Source organism: Homo sapiens, chromosome 12, assembly GCF_000001405.40.
Source record: "Homo sapiens chromosome 12, GRCh38.p14 Primary Assembly".
In the NCBI taxonomy this organism is placed as follows: domain Eukaryota; kingdom Metazoa; phylum Chordata; class Mammalia; order Primates; family Hominidae; genus Homo; species Homo sapiens.
The window spans coordinates 110,203,723-110,226,582 of NC_000012.12; the positions used below are offsets into that span (position 1 = coordinate 110,203,723).

A 22,860-nucleotide genomic window follows, 5' to 3' on the forward strand; every position below is an offset into this window, starting at 1 on the left:
TGGTTGTTGCATAAATAACTCTTAAGTATGCCAAGAAGCTTAGAGTTAAGTTACAAGACTGACAAGGGCATGCATTGTTTCAGAGCCATGTTTGGGACCTTTGTTTTTCACTTATTCAATCATTTTCCCTTTTTATACTAGGAACTGACCCAGGAGTGTGATGAAAAGAAATCCCAGTATGATAGCTGTGCAGCAGGCCTCGAAAGCAATCGGTCCAAATTAGAACAGGTAAGAAGAGAGTTTTTATTTTAACAATTTAGCAAAAACTACCTGTGTGTACACCTGTAGTCCCAGCTACTCTGGAGGCTGAAGCAGGAGGATTGCTTGAGCCTAGGAGTTTGAGGCTACAGTGAGCTATGATCACACCACTGCATTCTAGCCTGGGCCACAGAGCAAGACTCTCTCTCTAAAAAAAATGTTTTAAATACTGCCCGTGTACGCACATTTTCACTACATCAATGTCAAAAGATTCCCAAATCTTTATCATCATCTCCTAAGCTCCAGAGATCTTTATTTCTTTAATTTGTACACACTTAATTTCCCATCTGTACCACTCCCAGCAAAGTACAAGGCTCATTATCTGCTGCCTGGCCTCCCACAGTAAACTCTTACCTATTCTCTTGCTTCTACTCTTGCTCTCCTAAGGTTTATTCTTCATAGGGAAGCCTAAGAAACCTGTTTAAAATTTTTGCCACCCTTCATTGGCTTCCTGTTGCACTTAAAATAAAATCTAACCACCAAACTATGGTCTACAAGGCCCCACCTGCCTTATGAACTTCATGTCCATGTGCTCTACTCCTCATCCATGGAGCTTCAGCCACTCTGACCTTCTTCCTGAGCTTTAAACAGGCCAAGCTTGTTTTCACTTTGGGATTTTGCATGTACTCTTCCCTTCTGCGTGATATACTCTGCTCCTAACTCTTCGCCCTCCCTTCTCCTTTTCATCACTAGGTCTCAGCCTTAGTGTCACTGCCTTTCAGAGATCTCTGATCACCTGATGTTACCCACTCTTCTTCCCAACCTGGCCCACCCAGTCCCTCTATCACATTCTACTGATGGATTTCCTTCATAGCGCTTATCCCCATCTCAAATATCCTTCATTATGTTTCCTTGTTTATGTTGGTTTCTTCTACTTCAGTGAAAGCAGGGAACCTGCCTGTTCACTTCTGTGTCCTCAGCACTTAGAACAGTGCTGGACACACAGTAGGTACTTAATAAATGTATGATTGGGCCAGATGCAGTCGCTCATGCCTGTAATCCCAGCACTTTGGGAGTCCAGGGCGGGAGGATCACTTGAGGCTAGGAGTTCGAGATCAGCCTGGCCAACCCGGTGAAACCCTGTCTCTACTAAAAATACAAAAATTAGCCAGGCGTGGTGGCACGTGCCTGTAGTCTCAGCTCCTCAGGAGGCTGAGGCACGAGAATCTCTTGAACCTGCGAGGAGGAGGTTGCAGTGAGCCAAGACTGCACCACTGCACTCCATCCTGAGTGACAGAGTGAGACTCTGTCTCAAAAAATACAATTGAACTTGCAGGTTATAGAGTGATATGTGTATTCTCTAGAAAAAGATTATCTCTTATTGTGCTAGAATAAACAAAGTTAAAATTGCAGAAGAGGAAATGACTCTGATGGTAGTCCTTTGTTGTACATCTAAAGTCATCGTCGCCATATCTGTCTCATTCTTTCGATAATGTCACCTATCTAAAATTATATATTATAGGAAGTTAGAAGACTCCGTGAAGAATGTCTTCAAGAAGAAAGTAGATACCATTATACAAATTGTATGATTAAGGTAAGACAAAGTAGATCAAAAACATTTCTGAGTTTTTTCTATATCAAAGTCTTCCCTAAAACTGAAGTCTTTCTATTTAGAACCTAGAAGTTCAACTTCGTCGTGCTACTGATGAGATGAAGGCATATATCTCTTCTGATCAACAAGAAAAAAGAAAGGCAATTAGGCAAGTGATTTTGTTGTTTTATATTGAGATACTTAATATTTTCACCAATAAAAGTTTTATAAATAAGATAGAATTATACAAATTTAGCATATTTAAGTAAGTAGACACTAAGATATTATTTAATACTAAATCTTACTAAACATCTAGATATTTTAGCCCTGCTAAGTAGGAATACATATGATTTTATTTCTTGCTTGCTTACTTTTTGATTGTGATAAAATATATAAAATTTGCCACTTTACCCATTTTTAAGTGTACAGTTCATTGGCATTGATTACATTCACAATATTGTACAGCCATCACCACTGTATATTTACAAAATGTTTTCATCATCCCAAACAAAAACTCTTGTAACCATTAAGCAATAACTCTTCATTCCCCGCCACCCAGGAATATATATAATTTCATAATTGCTTTGTCATAAGCAGTAAAGTTGGTCTCTTTTTAAAGTCCCACATGGCCTAGACTCTAGTCATCTGCCTGCTAATTGTGCAGTGTGATGACTGCATTTTAGCTGGAAATTGTGTGATTGCAGTGTACCAGTCTTCAAGAAGGATATGTAAATACTGCTTAGTCCTTATATGGTGCTTTTTTTGCAATCCCAGCTTGTGGCGTACTGTAATAAATCAAATCCTGCCTAAAAAAAAATACATTTATGGTTGAATTGCTAGGTGTGATAAAATGCAATCATTGAACAACATAAGCCTTCTTTGCTCCTCATCACAATTCAAATATTAAATGTTTTGCTATTACTATTCAGTAAAAATTCAGATAAAATGTAGCACTCACGTTTATTCTAGATTGCATTGAGATTTTGAGTGGCATGTACATTAATGTTATAAAAAGAGGCCGGGCATGGTGGTGGGCGCCCGTAGTCCCAGCTACTTAGGAGGCCGAGGCGTGGGAATCGCTTGAACCCGGGGAGCAGGGGCTGCAGTAAGCCGAAATCATGCCACTGCGTTCCAGCCTGAGCGACAAAGGGAGACTCTGTCTTTAAAAAAAAAAAAAAAAAAAATCTAAGAAATAGAGTGTCTTGCAGAATCTGAATTTTTTTTCAATGTAATGCACTAGAATGCAAGCCAGACTGAAAATACTGTATAGAGCAGTGTTTTTTCTAATACTCTAACATATTAAACTAAAAATGTACTTATTCATATTCTTTCATTGTATGTAAACTTTGTTCATATAAATCTATATGGCCAATGATAAGAAATGAGAAAAGTTAAATTTGTTCTTAAAAAATAAAAATTTTTATAAATTAAGTTCTATTTCTTCCAAAGTTATCGATATAAATAGCAAAGAAGGAAATAATTGCTCTTGAACTATTCATTTTCTGATCTGTCTTCTAGCCAGATTTTTTTTTTTTTGAGACGGAGTCTTGCTCTGTCACCCAGGCTGGAGTGCAGTGGCACGATCTCGGCTCACTGCAATCTCCGCCTCCCAGGTTCAAACATATTCTCCTGCCTCAGCCTCCCAAGTAGCTGGGATTACAGGCACACGCCACTGTGTTTGGCTAATTTTTGTTATTTGTATTTTTGTAGTTTATATTTTTGTATTTTTGTAGAAATGGGGTTTCACCATGTTAGCCAGGTTGGTCTCAAACTCCTGACCTCAAGTGAACCACCCTCCTCAGCCTCCCAGAGTGCTGGGATTACAGGCATGAGCCACCACGCCCTACTGAAAATGAGGATTCATCAAGACTAATTGCAAAATTTTCCTTTACTTAGACTGCTGTATTTTCTCTTTTTATGGCTTAGGATTTCTTGGAGTCCCAATTTTATATTGTTTAATTTTTTCTTAAATACTGCAGCGTAGCTTCACACACAAAAACAGTCTCTTCTTTGTTCTGTGTTCCTTTACCCCTCGTCCTTCAGTCTTTTTTTTTTTTTTTTTTTTTTTTGAGACGGAGTCTCACTCTGTTGCCCAGGCTGGAGTGCAGTGGCGTGATCTCAGCTCACTGCAACCTCCGCCTCCTGGGTTCACGCCATTCTCCTGCCTCAGCCTCCTGAGTAGCTGGGACTACAGGTGCCCGCCACCACGCCTGGCTAAATTTTTTGAATTTTTAGTAGAGACAGGGTTTCACCGTGTTAGCCAGGATGGTCTCGATCTCCTGACCTCGTGAGCCACCGCGCCCAGCCCCAGCCTTCAGTCTTTATCCTTAACATGTCACCTGCTTTAAATCTCACATTTTGTCTTAAATAGTATTGAAATATAATTTTGTTTACAAATAAAATACAATGTTATTATGTTTTTAATTTTTACATTAAAATTTTTTTTTTAGCTTACAAAAGAAATACTTGTAAAAACAACAGTAACCATTATGAAGTAGTGTGCACAGAAGTTGAATGCTGTCCATTATTGCCATGTCTCAGAAATGTCTACTGTTAATACTTTGGTGTACATTAAGCCATATTCTTTTCCCATGCGTTTGCTGATACATCTGTATATATGTGTGTTAGTTAATGCATGGGAAATGTTATATGTATGTGTGTATACACACACGTATACATACATATGTATATAAAAATAAGATTAAACTGCTCCTGGGTGTAGTGGCTCACACCTGTAATCCTAGCATTTGGGAAGCTGAGATGAGCCAATTGCTTGAGCCCCAGAGTTCAAGACCAGCCTGGGCAACATGGCAAAACCCTGTGTCTACCAAAAAAATACAAAAAAATTAGCCCAATATGGCGACACATGTCTGTAATCCCAGTATCTGGGAGGCTAAAGTGGGAGATTCACTTGGGCCAGGGAGGTGGAGGCTACAATGAGGTGTGATCATGCCACTGCACTCCAACCTGGGCAACAGAGTGAGACCTTGTCTCAAAGGAAAAAAAAAAGATTAAACTACATATGCTGTTTTTCTCTTGATCTAGAATATTTTCCACTTCAGTATTTATAGATTTACCTCATTCTTTTGTATAACTCCTTATTATTTGTTTCAATAGATATGCCATAATTTGCTTAAACATTTTCCCATCTATAGACATTTAGTTTGTTTGCATATTTTCACTATTATAAGCATTGATGAAATAAATAGTCTGCTTTTATGTTTATTTAAGTTATGGGATATTTTTGTAGGATGACTTCCTAGAAGTAGAATTGCAAGATTACATGCTACTTAATGTTTATTTAAAATGTATATCCTTTCTCCTTTCTACAAACCTCTTCAAAAACAATGTGTAATTTAAGCAGATGGGTTGCCATTGTTTTGAGGGTAGATTAACCAGAAATAGTATTTAACATTTTAATTATCTTAATTTCCTATTAAATGTTTTGCTTTCTTTTTTTTCCTTAAATTACTATTTACTTGAAGAACTAACTAAAGATGGGGAAAGACAAAGAATTTTATAATGGGTTTCATTCTGACTCCAGTACCCTAAACTATATTGCCTAGTGTATTTTAGATAGATATATTAATTTATAATTCACTTGTATGATCAAATCATTTGAAGTAAATTGAAAGTAAATCATTATGTTGACTCCCTAGGGAACAGTATACCAAAAATACTGCTGAACAAGAAAACCTTGGAAAGGTAAGAATTATTATTTATTTTTTTAAATGTGTCTAACTGATTCAGGCTTTCAGTACTGTACATGGTTTATGACTGTCATTGTTTTCAAAAGGTCATAGTACAGTTTTTGAGGGGAAATTGTTCATTCATTTTAAAGATGGAAGACTTCCTTAAGAATTTAGTTTTACAGAAATAAAGTCACGATGGATTTTTGAAAGAAAAAATTATCTATTTTTAAATCACAGAGAGTTCATGATAATGTTCTGCGTTACAGTTTTCAGATTATCCTCAGGCTGGGCGCGGTGGCTCACGCCTGTAATCCCAGCACTTTGGAAGGCCAAGGCCAGTGGATCAGTTGAGGTCAGGAACTCAAGACCAGCCTGGCCAAAATGGTGAAACCCCGTCTCTATGAAAAATACAAAAATTAGCCAGGCGTGGTGGCAGGCGCCTGTAATCCCAGCTACTCTGGAGCCTGAGGCAGGAGAATCACTTGAACCAGGGAGGCAAAGGTTGCAGTGAGCCGAGATTGCGCCATTGCACTCTAGCCTGGGTGACAGAGCGATACTCCATCTCAAAAAAAAAAAAAAAAAAAATTATTCTCAGATATCTCTTTATGAGATAGGTGTAAATTTATTCATTTACTTTATTTAATAAACACAAAGTTCTAAGCCCTAGTCTAAGCGCTTTACAAACATTGATTTATTTAATACAAACAACTGAAAAACCTTGCTTGAGATGCTCAGCTCCCTCCTGCCAGAGTTATCTGATGGCAACTGAAATAGGACTGTATAATTATTTTTCTTAGTTCTCTGAGCCACTCCTAGAAGTGGTAGAGAGTAAGTTATAGCCTTGACCATCAGGACTTAAATGACCAACTGATTAGTTAGTCTAGCTGACTTCATAAAGCAACCAATTTAACAAAGACACCAGCTTTGCATTCTTAGGAGAAAAAAAGAAAAAACGTATACTTACTAATAATTCAGAGGAAAGATGACCAGTCATCAAGTGACTTGGCTTCACTCTTAGGCTTGTGATTCTAAACAAGCCCTCTAATCACTTTAGAGTTCATTTCCTCATATTTAAACTGAAGTACGTAGATGAGAAATTTAAAAATTAAATTACCTAGATTGATTTAGATGAGTTATAAGATCATCTTCATTGATTTTAAGTCTATATTGCATAATGAAGACTAACTGTGTTTCACTATACAACATTTTTTCTGTTTCTTCAGTTTCACTATTGAAAATAATGTTTTCTGGCCAGGCAAAGTGACCCATACCTATTTGTAATCCCAGCATTTTGGGAGGCTGAGGTGGGAGGATTGTTTGAACCTGGGAGTTTGAGATCAGCCTGGGCAACATGGCAAGACCCCATCTCTACAAAAAATACAAAAATTAGCCAGGCAAGGTGGCATGCACCTGTAGTTGCAGCTACTCTGGAGGCTAAGGTGGGAGGATTGCTTCAGCCTGGGGAGGCAATGCTGCAGTGAGCCGAGATCATGCCACTGCACTCCAGCCAGCCTGGGTGACAGAGTGAAAAAAAAAAGTTTCCTACCACTATCATACCAAAATATCATGCCAAAAATAATTTAACAATAATTATGTTGTTAAACAATAACAATTGGATGTTAACATCCGATACCTAGTGTTCAAAATCTTTTTCCTTTTTTTTTCGAGACAGAGTCTCACTCTGTCACCTAGGCTGGCTGGAGTGCAGTGGCACGATCTCGGCTCACTGCAGCCTTGGCCTCCCCACGCTCAAGCGATCCTCCCACCTCAGCCTCCTGAATAGCTGGGACTACAGGAGCATGCCACCATGCCCAGCTAATTTTTGTATTTTTTTTTTTTTTGTAGAGACGGGGTTTCGCCATATTGCCCAGGCTCTTAATCTCCTGGGCTCAAGCGATCCTCCCACCTTGGCCTCCCAAAGTGTGGGATTACAGGCACGAGCCACGACACCTGGACTTCGTATTAGGCTTTCTTTTTTTTTTTTTTTTTTTTTGGCAATATATTAGGGAAGGGTCTCACTCTGTTACCCAGGCTGGAGTGCAGTGGTGCAATCTCAGCTCACTGCATCCTCTGCCTCCCAGGCTCAAGCGATCCTCCCGCCTCAGCGGACTACAGGAGTGCTACTTGGGAGGTGGAGGCAGGAGCTAGTTTTTTTGGAGAACTAGAAAGGCAAACAGTTTGACTTAGTGTTGGATTTAGTAGAGCTCTTGATCTCCTGACCTCATGATCTGCCCACCTCAGCCTCCCAAAGTGCTAGGATTACAGACATGAGCCACCTCGTCTGGCCTTAGTTAACTTTTATAATCTTAGTTTTGGTACATTATAGAGTATGTGGTTTAGCTAACTATTTTTTATCTACTGTAGAAAACATACCATATTCCTCCGACTATAGCAATAGAAATAAACCCCTGTAACTGAGATTTAATTATTCTTGTTTTTTTTTAATGATAGAAACCACGCCTGGCTAATTTTTTTGTATTTTTTGTAGAGATGGGGTTTCGCCATGTTGCCCAGGCTGGTCTCAAACTCCTGAGCCCAAGCAATCCATCCACCTTGGCCTCCCAAAGTGCTGGGATTACAGGCACAAGCCACTGCGCCCAGCCTTCTTACTAGGTTTTCTAAGTTTGTAGCATCATAGGTAGGGGTTGTTTAGCTGCAAGTTTTCTTTTAAAATACTGACTATATATGGATGTCTAATTTCATTGTTCAAATATTCTGAAACCTGTAAATGATTATATATTTATTGAAGCTTGTCCATTCTTAAAATACAAATGAAAAAATGTGGCTTCATTTCCGTCTTAATATGTATTTGTACAGTTTAGCTACTGGTATGACTCAATACATTGGTGATGGCAAAGTTATTCACTCTTATTTACATTTTCCTGGCTTGAATCATTATTAAAAACATATGTGTGTCTATCTATGCTTGTACTTGAAAGATGAATTAGCTCCTAGAAACCTATAAGTAAACTTAAGAAAACAAATGGTATAGAAAACAATGGAGTAATTGGTAAATAAAGGTGATATGTTCCTTACTTTAAAAAAAAAAAAAAAAAACTTGGCTGGGCGCAGTGGCTCACGACTATAACCCAGCACTTTGGGAGGCCAAGGCAGGCAGATCACTTGAGGTCAGGAGTTTGAGACCAGTCTGGCCAACATGGTGAAACCTCATCTCTACTAATAATACAAAAATTAGCCAGGCGTGGTGGCATGTGCCTGTGATCCTAGCTACTCGGGAGGCTGAGGCATGAGAATCACTTGAACCCAGAGGTTGCAGTGAGCCAAGGTCACGCCACTGCACTCCAGCCTGTGCGACACAGTGAAACTGTGTCTTAAAAAAAAAAAAAAGCATCCCAGGTGCAGTGGCTCATGCCTGTAATCCCAGCACTTTGGGAGGCCAAGGTGGGTGGGTCACCTGAGGTCAGGAGTTCAAGACCAGCCTGGCCAACATAGTGAAACCCCTTCTCTACTAAAAATACAAAAAACTAGCTGGCATGGTGGCAGGCACCTGTAATCCCAGCTACTCAGGAGGCTGAGGCAGGAGAATTGCTTGAACCCAGGAGGTGGAGGTTGCAGTGAGCAGAGATCACACCATTGCACTCCAGCCTGGGAAACAAGAGCAAAACTCCATCTCAAAGAAAAAAAAAAATGATCGCCTTTATTATGGAGATTTTCAAAACTATATTTTAATCAATCCATATATATCCATCATCCAACTCTAATCATTAAATTCGTGGCCAGCCTTGTTTTGTCTATAATCTCATCCAGTACCTGCCCCAAATTTTTTTTCTAAATTATTTTTAAGCACATCGCAGACTTATTATTTTATCTCATCACATTTCAGTATGTACCATAAACACTCTTTTTGAACATAACCACAATACCATTATCCTACCGAAAAGAATTTAAAATAATTACGTAACATCCAATACCCAATGTTCAAACTTCACTATGATTTATTTGTTTGAATCAGGATCCTAATAAGAGTCCATACATTGTTATTAGCTTATATATCTCTTAAGTCTCTCTTTCTCCAGGTTACTCCCCCATTACATCATTTTTTCCTTACAATTTATTTGTTGAAAAGAAAAAAAAAACGGTAATTTGTCCTAGTGGGTTTTCAACATTTTGAACTTTGCTGTTGGTAACCCTTTGGTGTCAATTAGCATGTTCTTCTGTCCCCAGTATATCTTGTGAATTGGTAGTTAGATCTAGAAGCTTGATTAAATATGTTTTGATATTTGGCAAGAATACTTCATAGATGGTGGTATGTGCTTCTATCAGGAGGCTTTCTTCTTATGATGTAGACAGCCATTGATAATCATTTCCTAGATCCTTAATTCATTAGAAGTTGCACAGTGGTAACATTCTGATTATGTCATTCATTCTTCATTTATTGACTGGAATAATTCTGTAAAGAGCAACTTCTCCTTATCTTCTGTTTACTTACCCTGAGTTACATTCATATAAGAAAGGTACAATAACTGCTTGATTCACTATTTACTGGTTTTCAAAATGATGAGTTGGTTCTTTATCATCCTTCAAAAGTAATCTTATGACTTTTAGATTGAACATATTTGATATGTTTCAATCTATTGTGATTATTAGTCCCATTCGTACTCAAATTTGGCCAGTGGAAGCCTCTTGAAGTCAGCTTTTGAATCCTTTTGAAAAAATCCTAGTAGACTTTGATGGCTTCTTTGTTTTCTGGTGTGACAAAATGTTCTAATTTCATACTGTACATTTTCTGTCTCAAACCTGAAATTAGCCATTTCTCTAAAAAGTGTTCACCTGTGATTTGTGAATAAATGACCATTATATCAAAGAAAATAAATAAAAAATAAAAGGAAGCCTTCTTGAAGCTGATTCCTCCATTTACTGGGAGAATAGTGAATTCTGTGTACCTTATTTCACTTATGGGATGACACACCATACTTAAAAGGAAAAAAAGAAATAATTTTCATATTTGAAAGCACATATTTGAATCAAATTATAAACATTCATTTGTATAATATTTTAACTAGAGATTTTTGGATTTGTAAGATTTTATATGATTGTCAAAATTGACTTTTTTTTTTTTGAGATAGAGACTCAAAATTTATCAAGTATATTTAAGCAAGTGAACCAATGACTAGCTCATTCCCCAAATGTCAGACTGTATCATTTAAGAAGCAAAGCTTCTTAATCCTCAAACTTCTAGAGTAGATCTAAATTTTCAAGGCAAACAGAACAAACCCAGCCTTTCAAAGTGATGATAGTCTAAGCCCTCTAAGCCAATATAAACTGGACATCCATAGACCTCCTCAGGCCAACTGAGTTTCCCCCCTTCTATACCACCATCTCCTCCTTTAAAGAACAATGAAATCAGTGATTAGTAATTTTTGTACATTGCAACTGTAAACAAATGTAAATGATAATAAGATTTAAAATATATACATACTAACATCAGTTGTATTCATAAAGTTAAAGGTTTCAAACACACATGGTTATGAAGCAAATTAAATTTAATATTTCTGACACAGACAGTGCCCACATCCTGTCTTTGGTTCTTTAAATAACTTTTATAGGTTGTTAGGATTTTTTGACAAGGAAATTATTCCAATGATATAAGAAAAGTTACAGGTTAAGTAGTGCCTTAATTTAAAATCGTGTGCAGAAGTCTTAAAATTCTTGGTCTGCCTTAATGGCCTTTCTAAATACTTTTTAGTTTATAAGGATAAAATATTTGTTGTAAGATACATTATTTGTAACATAAACTTAAATAGATGTATTAATATGCCAGGTATTGCATCAAAAAATTTACTGGTTATATTTATATTTTTAAAATTCTGTGTTGTTTTCTATTCCTGTTTGCTGTTAACTTTGCTTTCATTATGCATAGCTGGGTGGGCAGTATTTAATGGGTGGTTTGACTCTGGTCCTCAGCTTAGTTAATCCTCTTATTTAGGCAAGTACCAACTACCAGCATTCTCATTTGTGTCTCAGATCAACTAGTATATTGACCGTATGTTAAAAGAGGAAAGGATGAGGTTGTTCCTTTGCACTCTGCCTCTGTGTCTCTGCTTGCTTTTCTGTCCCTCTTGGTGATTTTCTCACACTCGGTGTCGGTACAGATATTTCCAACACACTGCATTTCGTTCTATGTGCACTTTCACCTTCTCTACCAAAATGTCAACTGTAGTTGTCTCTAGCACATGGGATTATGAATGAATTCCTTTCTTTTCTTTTTCTTCTCTTCTTCTTCTTCTTCTTTTTTTTTTTTTTTTTTTTTTTTTTTTTGAGACAGTCTCACTCGTCACCTGGGCTGGAGTGTAATGGCATGGTCACAGCTCACTGCAGCCTTGAGTTCCCAGGCTCAAGTGATCTTCTTGCCTCGGCCTCCTGAGTAGCTGGGACCACAGGCATGTGCCACCATACACAACTAATTAAAAAAAAATTTTTTTTTTGTAGAGACAGGGGCGTCTCACTTTGTTGCCCAGGCTGGATTCTCTCTCTCTTTTTTCCTACCGTGTCACTTATTGTCTCTGACTTTGTGTCTACTCTTGCTTTCAGTCACCCTTCCTCAATTTGCCATAATATAGAACTAAAGTATATTTTTGTAATTTATTGAAGATTCTTTTATTCCTGTTTAAAATTTTAGAGTCAATGAGTAAAACAGTTTTGGCAGGTGGACCATCTAAGATGTTAGTAACAAAAACAATTCTAAGAAGGATTTTGGCTTATTTAATAGTGTACTATTTTCGTAATCACTGGGCCTGCTCTCTGAAGTATATGTGCATACAATTTGATTTATTTGGACATAAATAGAGTATACACTGTTTCAGGATAAGATAGAATATAACATTTAATAACAAGGATATATATAATACATGATAATTTATCAAGTATTTCAATATCTATTATGTCACTTGAAAACATAATCTTACCAAGTAAATACTTTTATTTTCCCCTATTATTAGCCTTGGTTTGGTTGTTTTGTTTTGTTTTGTTTTGTTTTGTTTTTAAGAGACAGGATCTCGCTCTGTTGCCCAGGCTGGAGTGCAGTGGTGAGAGCATAGCTCACTGCAGCCTCAAATTCCTGGCTCAAGTGACCCTTCCACCTCAGCCTCCCAACTAGCTAGGACTACAGGCATGTGCCACCACCATGCCCAGATAATTTTTTAATTTTTATTTTTGTAGAGACAGAGTATCATGTTACCCAGGCAGGCCTTGAACTCCCCAGCTCAAGCAATCCTCCTGCCTTGGCCTCCCAAAGTGCTGGAATTACAGGTGTGAGTCACCGTGCCCAGCCCCCAGCCTCCTATTATTCACCTTAATTTTTTTTTTTTTCCAGAGACGGAATCTCACTCTGTTGCCCAGGCTGGAGTGCAGTGGCACAATCTTGGCTCACTCTGCCTTCCAGGTTCAAGCAATTCTCCTGCCTCAGCCTTCTGAGTAGCTGGAATTACAGGCACATGCCACCATGTCCGGCTAATTTTTGTATTTCATATTTTTGTATTTTTAGTACAGATGGGATTTCACCATGTTGGCCAGGCTGGTCTCGAACTCCTGACTTCAGGTGATCTGCCCACCTATATAGCATGAGTCCTGTTTTCCACTTGAAACTCCAAGCATACCTGACATATAACAGGTGCTTCATAATTATATCTTGAATAAATAAGTATTAGGTTTTAGTATATAGAATATACTGATCCTGTTGGTTTCTTGAGAAATTTTTATGTAAATGGAAATTCTAAAACAAAATGTGGACATTTCTCAGGCTTAGGCTAATAAATGAATTATTTTAAAGCTATATGAGCTATAACTGTACATTCTTGAGTAATATGTCATGTATATCCTCCTAGCTGGTTTTTGTTGGAGAACTAGAAAGGCAAGCAGTTTGACTTAGAGTCTCATAGTGGCACGACTGCAGCTCATTGCAACCTCCACCTCCCAGATTGAAGCCATTCTCCTGTCTCAGCCTCCTGAGTAGCAGGGACTACAGGCACACGCCACCATGCCCTGCTAATTTTTGTATTTTTAGTAGAGATAGGGTTTCACCTTGTTGATCAGGCTGGTCTCGAACTCCTAACCTCAAGTGATCTATCCGCCTCAGCCTCCCAAAGTGCTGGGATTACAGTCGTGAGCCACCATGCCTGGTCTATTAACCTTAATTGATAATTGAGAAAACTGAAGTCCCAAGAAATTAAGTGCCTTGCTTACCACTAGAGGAGACAAAACCAGATTAAAACCGAAGTCTTCTGACTTCCAAACTCTACATTCTTCTTTTCACACCATGATACTGTTCCACTTTCCTAACTATCTTTTTCTCTCACTTCCTTTTATAGTTTTGTGTAGTTTTTTTTGTTTGTTTGTTTTTGTTTTTTGTATTTTCTTTGAGACAGAGTCTTGCTCTGTTGCCAAGCTGGAGTGTAGTGGCGTGATCTCGGCTCACTGCAAACTCCGCCTCCCAGGTTCAAGCGATTCTCCTGCCTCAGCCTCCCGAGTAGCTGGGACTACAGGCGCGTGCCCCCATGCCTGGCTAATTTTTTTTTGTATTTTTTTGGAGAACTAGAAAGGCAAACAGTTTGACTTAGTGTTGGATTTAGTAGAGCTCTTGATCTCCTGACCTCATGATCTGCCCACCTCAGCCTCCCAAAGTGCTAGGTTTACAGACATGAGCCACCTCGTCTGGCCTTAGTTAACTTTTATAATCTTAGTTTTGGTACATTATAGAGTATGTGGTTTAGCTAACTATTTTTTATCTACTGTAGAAAACATACCATATTCCTCCGACTATAGCAATAGAAATAAACCCCTGTAACTGAGATTTAATTATTCTTGTTTTTTTTTAATGATAGAAACTTCGGGAAAAACAAAAAGTTATACGAGAAAGTCATGGTCCAAATATGAAACAAGCAAAAATGTGGCGTGATTTGGAACAATTAATGGAATGTAAGAAACAGTGCTTTCTGAAACAACAAAGCCAAACTTCCATTGGTCAGGTAATTCAGGAGGGTGGGGAGGACCGGCTAATACTGTGAATTCTTGTGTCATCGTTTGGGGTTTTACTTGATACCACTAGCTATAAGCCTAATCTCATAATGTATTTCTTTTTTGAAACTGATTTGTATAGCATTTTGTTTTCAGAAGAGCCATTCTTTATTAAGTTTTCATAGAAAATAATGTTAAGGTAGATTTAGTTTGAATGTTTTTTCATATGAAAAAGAGGCTTTTATTCTTTTCCATAGTTTAGACATCACTGGCGTCTTCTGAGTTTTATGAGACAGGAAACTAAGTTTACTATCTGTAAATGTAAACATATGTCCATTAAGAAACATGTAGTTTTTTTTTAGAATGTAATAACCCAGTGGCTTACTGTTTTTCTTAATCTCTTTTAAAAAAACTTTAGAAGAATCTTTTAGGAACTAATATCTCTTGTTCTGAAGAAACATTTATCTGACGTTCAGCAGTTCCTACAGTTTTACTTCAGTTTATTTTTCTTCTGTAAAATGCAAGAAAATTTAATATTTTGACTAACATGTCTTTTCTGTTTGTATCATTTAAAGGCAAATAAACTTGGTACGTATTTCATATCTATTTAAAAAATGTATAGTTGTCTTGTGTCAAAATTTATTCTTTTTAAAGTATTAACATCTAATATTAAATTGAAGGATTATTACTTCTTTTCTTTTCTTTTTTGAGACGGAGTCTCGCTCTTTTGCCTAGGCTGGAGTGCAGTGTCATGATCTCGGCTCACTACAAGCTCCACCTCCCAGGTTCATGCCATACTCCTGCCTCAGCTTCCTGAGTAGCTGGGACTACAGGCACCTGCCACCATGCCCGGCTAACTTTTTGTATTTTTAGTAGAGACAGGGTTTCACCGTGTTAGCCAGGATGGTCTCGATCTCCTGACCTCGTGATCTGCCTGCCTCGGCCTCCCAAAGTGCTGGGATTACAGGCATGAGCCTACACGCCTGGCCACATTATTACTTATTTTCACCAAAAATCTATTACAGACTTTTTTTTCTTTTTTTTGAGGTGGAGTCTCACTCTGTTGCCCAGGCTGGAGTGCAGTGGTGTGATCTCAGCTCACTGCAACCTCTGCTTCCGGGATTCAAGCAATCCTCCTGCCTCCACCTCCCAAGTAGCTGAGATGACAGGCGCCCGCCATCACACCTGGCCAATTTTTGTATTTTTAGTAGCAACAGGGTTTCACCATGTTGACCAGACTGGTCTTGAACTCCCAACCAACATCAGGTGATCTGCCTGCCTCAGCCTCCCAAAGTGTTGGGATTACAAGCATGAGCCACTCATGCCTGGCCTATTACAGATTTAATAATATAATAACCAACCTGGGCACAGTGGCTCATGCCTGTAATTCCACTACTTTGGGAGGCTGAGGCAAGCAGATCATTTGAGGTCAGGGGTTCGAGACCAGCCTGGGCAACATGACAAAACCCTGTCTCTACAAAAAATACAAAAATTAGCCGGGTGTGGTGGCACACCTGTGGTCCCAGCTACTTGGAAGGCTGAGGCTAGAGAATCACTTGAACCTGGGATGTGGAGTTTGCAGTGAGCGAAGATCACGCCACTGTACTCCAGCCTGGGCAATAGAGCAAGACTCTGTCTCAAAAAATAATAATAATAATGTAACAATAATCTGATAGTTGTGGGAACCGTTATTTTATTTCATTTTATTTTTTCTTTGAGACAGTCTCTTGCTCTGTTGCCCAGGCTGGAGTATAGTGGTGCAATCTCAGCTCACTGCAACCTCTGCCTCCCAGATTCAAGCAATTCTCCTGCCTCAGCTTTGCGAATAGCTGGAATTACAGGCATGCACCACCACACCTGGCTAGTTTTTATATTTTTAGTAGAGATGGGGTTTCACCATGTTGGCCAGGCTGGTCTCGAACTCCTAAGCTCAAGTGATCCACCCGCCTCAGCCTCCTAAAGTGCTGGGATTACAGTTACAGGCATGAGCCACCACGCCCAGCCTGATATTTTAAATATAAAAAAATTTTCATAGAATATAGATATCACATATTAAATGTAGCACAAGACTCAAAGTGAAATTCAAGAGTTCAAAGTGCTTCCAATCTCTGCTTCATTTGGACAAGGTACTTGAAGATTTCTTTGGTTTCCCTTAGAAAGATACCAAATTCATGTGCCATGCTTTACTTCATTTCAATTTCAGTACTTTTTCAAAATATCTTGCCTTTAGATTTGAAAACTCAAATTTCGAATTATTAGCATGTCCATCTTAGGCTAGTTCTTTTCAGCTGTCTTTAAAAAAATTTTTTGTTGTTTTTTTTTTTAGAGATGGGATCTTTCTCTGTTGCCCAGGCTGGGAGGCAGTGATATAATCATAGCTCAATGCAGCCTCAAACTTCTGGGGTCAAGTTAGCTGGGACTATAGGCACATGCCACCATGCCTGGCTAATTTTTTTTTTTTTTTTTGGTAGAGATGCCATGTAAGCTGTTTTTGTGTCAGTATAAACAAATACCTGAGGCTGGCTAATTTATAAAGAAAAGAGGTTTAATTGGCTCATGGTTATGCAGGCTGTACAGGAAGCATGGTGATGGCATCTCCTCTTGGCCAGGGCCTCAGGTGAAAGCTTCATGGTGAAAGGGGAACCAGCACATCATATGGAAAGAGCAGGAGCGAGAGGTCAGGGGCAGTTGTCACTCACTGTTAAAGAACCAGATCTTGTGTGAACTCAGAGCTAGAAATCACTAATCACCGCGGGGATGACATTAAGTTATTCACGAGGATCCACCTCCATGATCTAGACACCTCCCACCAGGCCTCACCTCCAACACTGGAGATTACATTTCAACATGAGATTTGGAGGGAACAAACATCCAAACCATATTAGATGGGGTCTCCTTTTGTTGCCCAGGCTAGTCTTGAACTTGTGGCTTCAAGTGATCCTCCCACCTTGGCCTCCCAAAGTGCTAGGATTAGGCATAAGCTACCATACTTGGCCCAAAACTTTTTTTTTTTTGTTTGAGATGGAGTTTCGCTCTTGTTGCCCAAGCTGGAGTGCAATGGCGCAATCTCAGCTCACTGCAACCTCCATCTCCCAGGTTCAAGCCATTCTCCTGCCTCAGCCTCCCAAGTAGCTGGGATTACAGGCATGTACCACCACCAAAAATATTTTTTAAAGAAGAAAATTGTTTCTACCCTGTAAAAAATATGGATCTCTTTGTTCCCATGTGTGTCCTACTCTTAATTTTTGTTTGAAAGGTTTTTTATTGGTAATCAAAGAGCCTCACTAGCTAGAGATAATTGGTAATTCTAGGAGCTGTAGCAAGAAGAGATGGGGTCCATCAGAATAAGGAAGAACTGGACTTACCGGGAAAGTATGGAGAGAAATATCTTTTAAATTTTTATAAGGAAAACAGAAGTATTTCAGTGTTCATAAGTGATTTGAATTGGTCCTCTGCTTGTTTTATCCTCTTATTTGGGCAAGTATCAGCTGCCAGCATTGTCATTTGTGCCTTTAGATCAACTAGCAGATCAGCAATCCCCCAAAAGAGGAAAAGCTGTGTCTTAGTGTGTAGAAACAAATCCTTAATTCAATCATCATTTTTTGGATAGTGACATAGATATATTTGTGTGGTGTTGGTTACTGGCATGTTGTTTTTAAGCCAATAGTTAAGTGATGCTCCTTTAAACAGAATATGAATTCCTTTGCAAGTATTTGAAAAAGACTAGATGCCCTTTATAGAAACAGCATTTTATTCCTCCAGAGGAAAGTCAGTTCACAAAATTATTAAGCCTAGTGATTAATTATTTTTTAGCCCTTCACTGTCTTTGGTACTCCTCTTGATTTTTAAAATGGTTGATGACAGATACTCCACAGAATCCTTAGAATTCTACTGATTTGATTATTACTTGCCATCTTTACTCCATACAGAAGGAATATGTGGATTAAACACAAAGGCAGCTCCAAAATTACTTTATTCACTGAAGCAGAACATCATTATTACTTCAAGAAAAGCAAACTGAAGAAATAAAACTCTAAAAGTACAAAGTTATTTATAGATTGTGTGTAACATTGGACATTTAGTAATGCAGCTTAATGGGTTTAGTGCAGTGACTTTCCACTCATTTCATGATTTGATTGGAACATTAAAAAACTTTAACTAACCTTGACAGTCTTTGACAGCTGGCACTTACTAAAGAGCTTATTACATTTTTCCTTCAGGATTGATACTCTGGCTAGCTAATTGATCAGAGTACTTAATCATTTCAGAAACTAATTTGTCTTTCATGTGATGGCCCAAATAAAGGAGAAGAATGCAGCCTGTGAAATCTGCCTCTGTGTTCACAGATTTCCTTCTTCTAGTTGCCAACCGTTGCATGGGACTGACTGTATGATTGTAAATTTCAAAAGGCCACTGCTTATCTTGCTTTCTGTATTAATTCAGGAAACAATCCAAATTTAAATGGTGCCCTTTAAGAAGAATCTTATAATAGGATAATGTGCTTTCTGTTATAAATCTGTTAACTGAATTCCAAAGCCATGTATTTTCTAGGTCTGGAGAATGTACCAGAAGGGTCTTAGAATACTGTTCAAATCCCTATGGAAATAAAACCAGAAATTGCAGAACACCTACCTTTTTCTTTAGATTAATACTTGCCCTTATTTTGCTCTAATTCAGGAGACGATAATAAAGGAAGGAATTTCATTTAAACTATCAAATAAACGTAAATGTGTTATTCTGCCTAATTAACATTTATAAATTTGTAAGATCTATGCACTTTCCAAGTCCATTTCTTTTTTTTTTTGAGACAGAGTTTTGCTCTTTTTGCCCAGGCTGGAGTGCAATGGCAGGATCTTGGCTCCCTGCAACCTCCGCCTCCCGCGTTCAAGCAATTCTCCTACCTCAGCCTCCCAAGTAGCTGGGATTACCGGCATGTGCTACCACGGCCAGCTAACTTTTTGTATTTTTAGTAGAGATGGGGTTTCACCATATTGGTCAGCTGGTCTTGAACTCCAGACCTCAGGTGATTCACCCGCCTCGGCCTCCCAAAGTGCTGAGATTACAGGCATAAGCCACCGCGCCCGGCCCCAAGTATGTTTCTTAACTTTTTAAGGTAACACAATACAGAGCACTTTTTATAATTTGAGTAAAATAAAAGACTAAATATATTGCTGAAACTAAAAATATACAAATTTGCAGAATTCTTCTGAGTTGAATATGAAAAATGGCAAACTGATAACTTGTCAAAGCTGTCTCTACAAAGGCAAAGTCAAAGTTTGCATTGAAAAATGACTTTGTAGCTGGGCACAGTGGCTCACGCTTGTAATCTCAGCACTTTGGGAGGCCAAGGCAGGCAGATCGCCTGAGGTCAAGAGTTCGTGACCAGCCTGACCAACAAGGAGAAATCCCATCTCTGCTAAAAATACAAAATTAGCCAGGCGTGGTGGTGTATGCCTGTAATCCCAGCTACTCGGGAGGCTGAGGCAGGAGAATCACTTGAACCTGGGAGGTGGAGGTTGCAGCGAGCCAGATTGCTCCATTGCACTCCAGCCTGGGCAACAAGAGCGAAACTCCATCTCAAAAAAAAAAAAGAAAAAAGAAAAAGAAAAATGACTTTGTATGCAGGTGTGTGTCTTATAGAAGCCTTGTCTTATGCAGGCATTCTACCCTATATTAGTGACTAATGAGTGTGAGTAAATGACTTGTTTCTACAAAGGATTCTAGGTGCTTACATCATTCATCTTGTCTGGCATGAAGGAGTCTTTAGCCCCAGGGAACGGGTAAGATAGCATCCTGATGATTAACTTTCTTTAAACTTGGTTTTATCAGTAACGTCATTGTTACTGATTGTTACTCACCTACAGGTGAGGAGTAGATTACATATGCAACAGATCTTTCTTTTTTAGACAATTCATGGCAGCCAGGAGAGAAATAAAGCTGTATCTTTATTAAATATGTAAATTATTCCTCCACTCATACTGGCTTAGCTCCTCTTCCTCTTCCTTTTAATGAGAGCAGTTTAAATTAGAGCTGCTTGGCGTATGGCAGCCAGGCCTGGGATGAGTGTTTTGTCTCGGGGGATGGAGAGGGATCATTAAAAGTTATCTATGTATTTTTTATCTTTGACCCTACTGTCTTAAGATAATCTTAAAAAGAGAAGTTGACTGTAAATATTGTTTAGCCCCACCCCATCCTTGCAAAAGAAATCAAAAAATAAAACACAGATCCCAAATAAGTATTTTTAAGAGACTTGGACAAACATATGCTTTCTGCTCCTATGCTCCCTCTTTTGGCAAACTGGAAGTACTTTCTTGGCAAACATCGATATTTTCACAATTTCCTTTCCAGAATTGCTGAGAGGCTTGAGTCACCAAACTTGGTTTACTGCTATGGAAATTCACTATTCCGAGCACAGGAAGAAATTAAAGATTTTTGTTTTTCGGTGAAAGTATGTGTTTACACCTCAGTTCAGAGTGTAACAGCAGGTTCCTGGCTTGGCTGCTTAATGCTGCATGCGATATCCTGGTAAACAGTCATAGAATTTTGGAGCTTGAAAGGAACCTCAGAATGATTCATATAATCATTTATTAGATCAGGAGCTTTGAGGGATCTCTTCCAACCTCTCTCCAGTGTGGAAATCAGTTCTGTAGCGCATGTAGCGAATCACTTTCCAGCCATAGTAGTGTACCCGCAATGCGGCTCACTCCTCATGAGGGAGCCTGTTTCATTGTTAGAGCACAACCTAATTAAGTTATTGGTTCTGAAACTGAAGCAGACTTACAAAGGACTTTTTATGAACTTCAGTTATGCAAAGCAAGATTTAACAAATTTTATTCCCTGAAGCTCTAATCACGACCATGATCATGAGTGATTCAAGCAAATAACCTGGTACTGAGCACTCCATTTGTACCAGGCACTGTCCTAAATGCTTTATATGTGTAGAACTAACATAACTCTCACAATAACCTTATGAGGCAGCTGCAATTATCCGCATTTTATAGATAAGGGAACTGAAGCACAGAGAGACTTTCACAATATTATACAACTAATGATTGTGGCAGAGCCAGGATCCAAAACCTGTGCTCTTAAGTACTTATATTGCAGTGTGACCCATGTATATACCTATTGTATATAAGCAAACAGATTGATGTCTGTTTATGAGTTATGGTATGAAATAATTTTTAGTGCTTATTATAAAATTATAGTACCTTTTTTTAAAAAATGTGTTTGCTTACTATACCTAAAGAATAAACTTTACTAAATGGTTAAAAGTAACCTCAACCAACCAGATGAGGGAATTATACTGAAAATAAATGTTCAGTAAATGAATGAAAGAAATGAGTAGTAGTTTTAAATACAGAGCAAACTGAAACTTTATAGGGTTATCATTTAAATCTATCTGTGTGTTAAAATCATGCATGTCTCCAATTGCTGGACATTTAGATCAACTCCAGTTTTTCACTTTATGAACAATGCTGGAATGAAACTTAAAGATTGAAATACAGCTGGGTGGCCAGGCACGGTGGCTCACGCTTGTAATCTCAGCACTTTGGGAGGCTGAGGTGGGCGGATCATGAGGTCAGAAGTTCCAGACCAGCCTGACCAACCCAGTGAAACCCCATCTCTACTAAAAACACAAAAATTAGCTGGGCGTGGTGGCAGGTGCCTATAATCCCAGCTACTTGGGAGGCTAAGGCAGGAGAATCTTGAACCCAGGAGGCCTCCGCCTGGGTTGCAGTGAGTCGAGGTCACACCACTGCACTCCAGCTTGGGCGACAGAGCTAGACTCCGTCTGGAGAAAAAAAAAAAAAGAAAGAAAGAAATACAGCTGGGTGTGGTGCTCATGCCTTATCCTAGCACTTCGGGAGGCTACGGCAAGAGAATCACTTGAGCCCAGGAATTTGAGGCCAGCCTGGCCAACATGGTGAAACCCTGTCTCTACTAAAAATACAAAAAATTAGCCGAGTGTGGTGGTGCACGCCTGTAGTCCCAGCTACTTGGGAGGCTGAGGCAGGAGAACCGCTTGAACCCTGGAGGCAGAGGTTGCAGTGAACCAAGATTGTGCCACTGCACTCCAGTCTGGGTGACAGAGCGAGATTCTGTCTCAAAAAATAAAAATTAAAAAAATTAAAAAAGATTAAAATACAATAAGGTAATTAAGCAAAACCACAAAATTTATCAAATTCGGTTAAATCCAGAATCTGTTGAACAGTTTTATAGATATTTCTTGTCTTTTTCTGTGAAAATACCAACAGGCAATTTCTTTCTTAACCAAAGAAATTAACAAGATAATACTTGATTAATAGGAGAATGAAATTAAAAGTCCACTCATTTATTTTGATGCGAATATTTGTTATCTTGTGTGCCTGACACTGTGCTAAGTGCTAAAATAGAAATTGAACATGA

At 38.6% G+C, this 22,860-nt stretch overlaps 1 protein-coding gene across 10 annotated transcripts in view, besides 1 other annotated feature; it reads left to right on the plus strand.

Moving 5' to 3' along the window:
• The window catches only part of IFT81 (intraflagellar transport 81), a 94,437-nt gene extending 79,366 nt beyond the window's left edge, over window positions 1-15,071 (plus strand). For 9 of the 10 annotated variants that reach the window (NR_144952.2, NR_144949.2, NR_144951.2 and 6 more), the window contains 5 exons: window positions 142-228; window positions 1,721-1,792; window positions 1,873-1,958; window positions 5,449-5,494; window positions 14,322-15,071. Coding sequence is in view for 5 of the 10 variants with exons in the window: in XM_017019217.2 (XP_016874706.1) it covers window positions 142-228; window positions 1,721-1,792; window positions 1,873-1,958; window positions 5,449-5,494; window positions 14,322-14,504 (474 nt within the window). In the remaining 5 variants the exon portion in view is untranslated. Of the gene's footprint in view, window positions 1-141; window positions 229-1,720; window positions 1,793-1,872; window positions 1,959-5,448; window positions 5,495-14,321 lie in introns of those variants that run through there. The other variant, XR_007063070.1, reaches the window with a different exon arrangement.
• Window positions 20,024-20,524: an enhancer, noted in NCBI's record as "H3K4me1 hESC enhancer chr12:110661551-110662051 (GRCh37/hg19 assembly coordinates)". NCBI's record gives its function as "activates a minimal SCP1, AML or CMV promoter by ChIP-STARR-seq in naive H9 embryonic stem cells {active_cell/tissue: H9 hESC(naive)}" and the evidence as "EXISTENCE:reporter gene assay evidence [ECO:0000049][PMID:30033119]".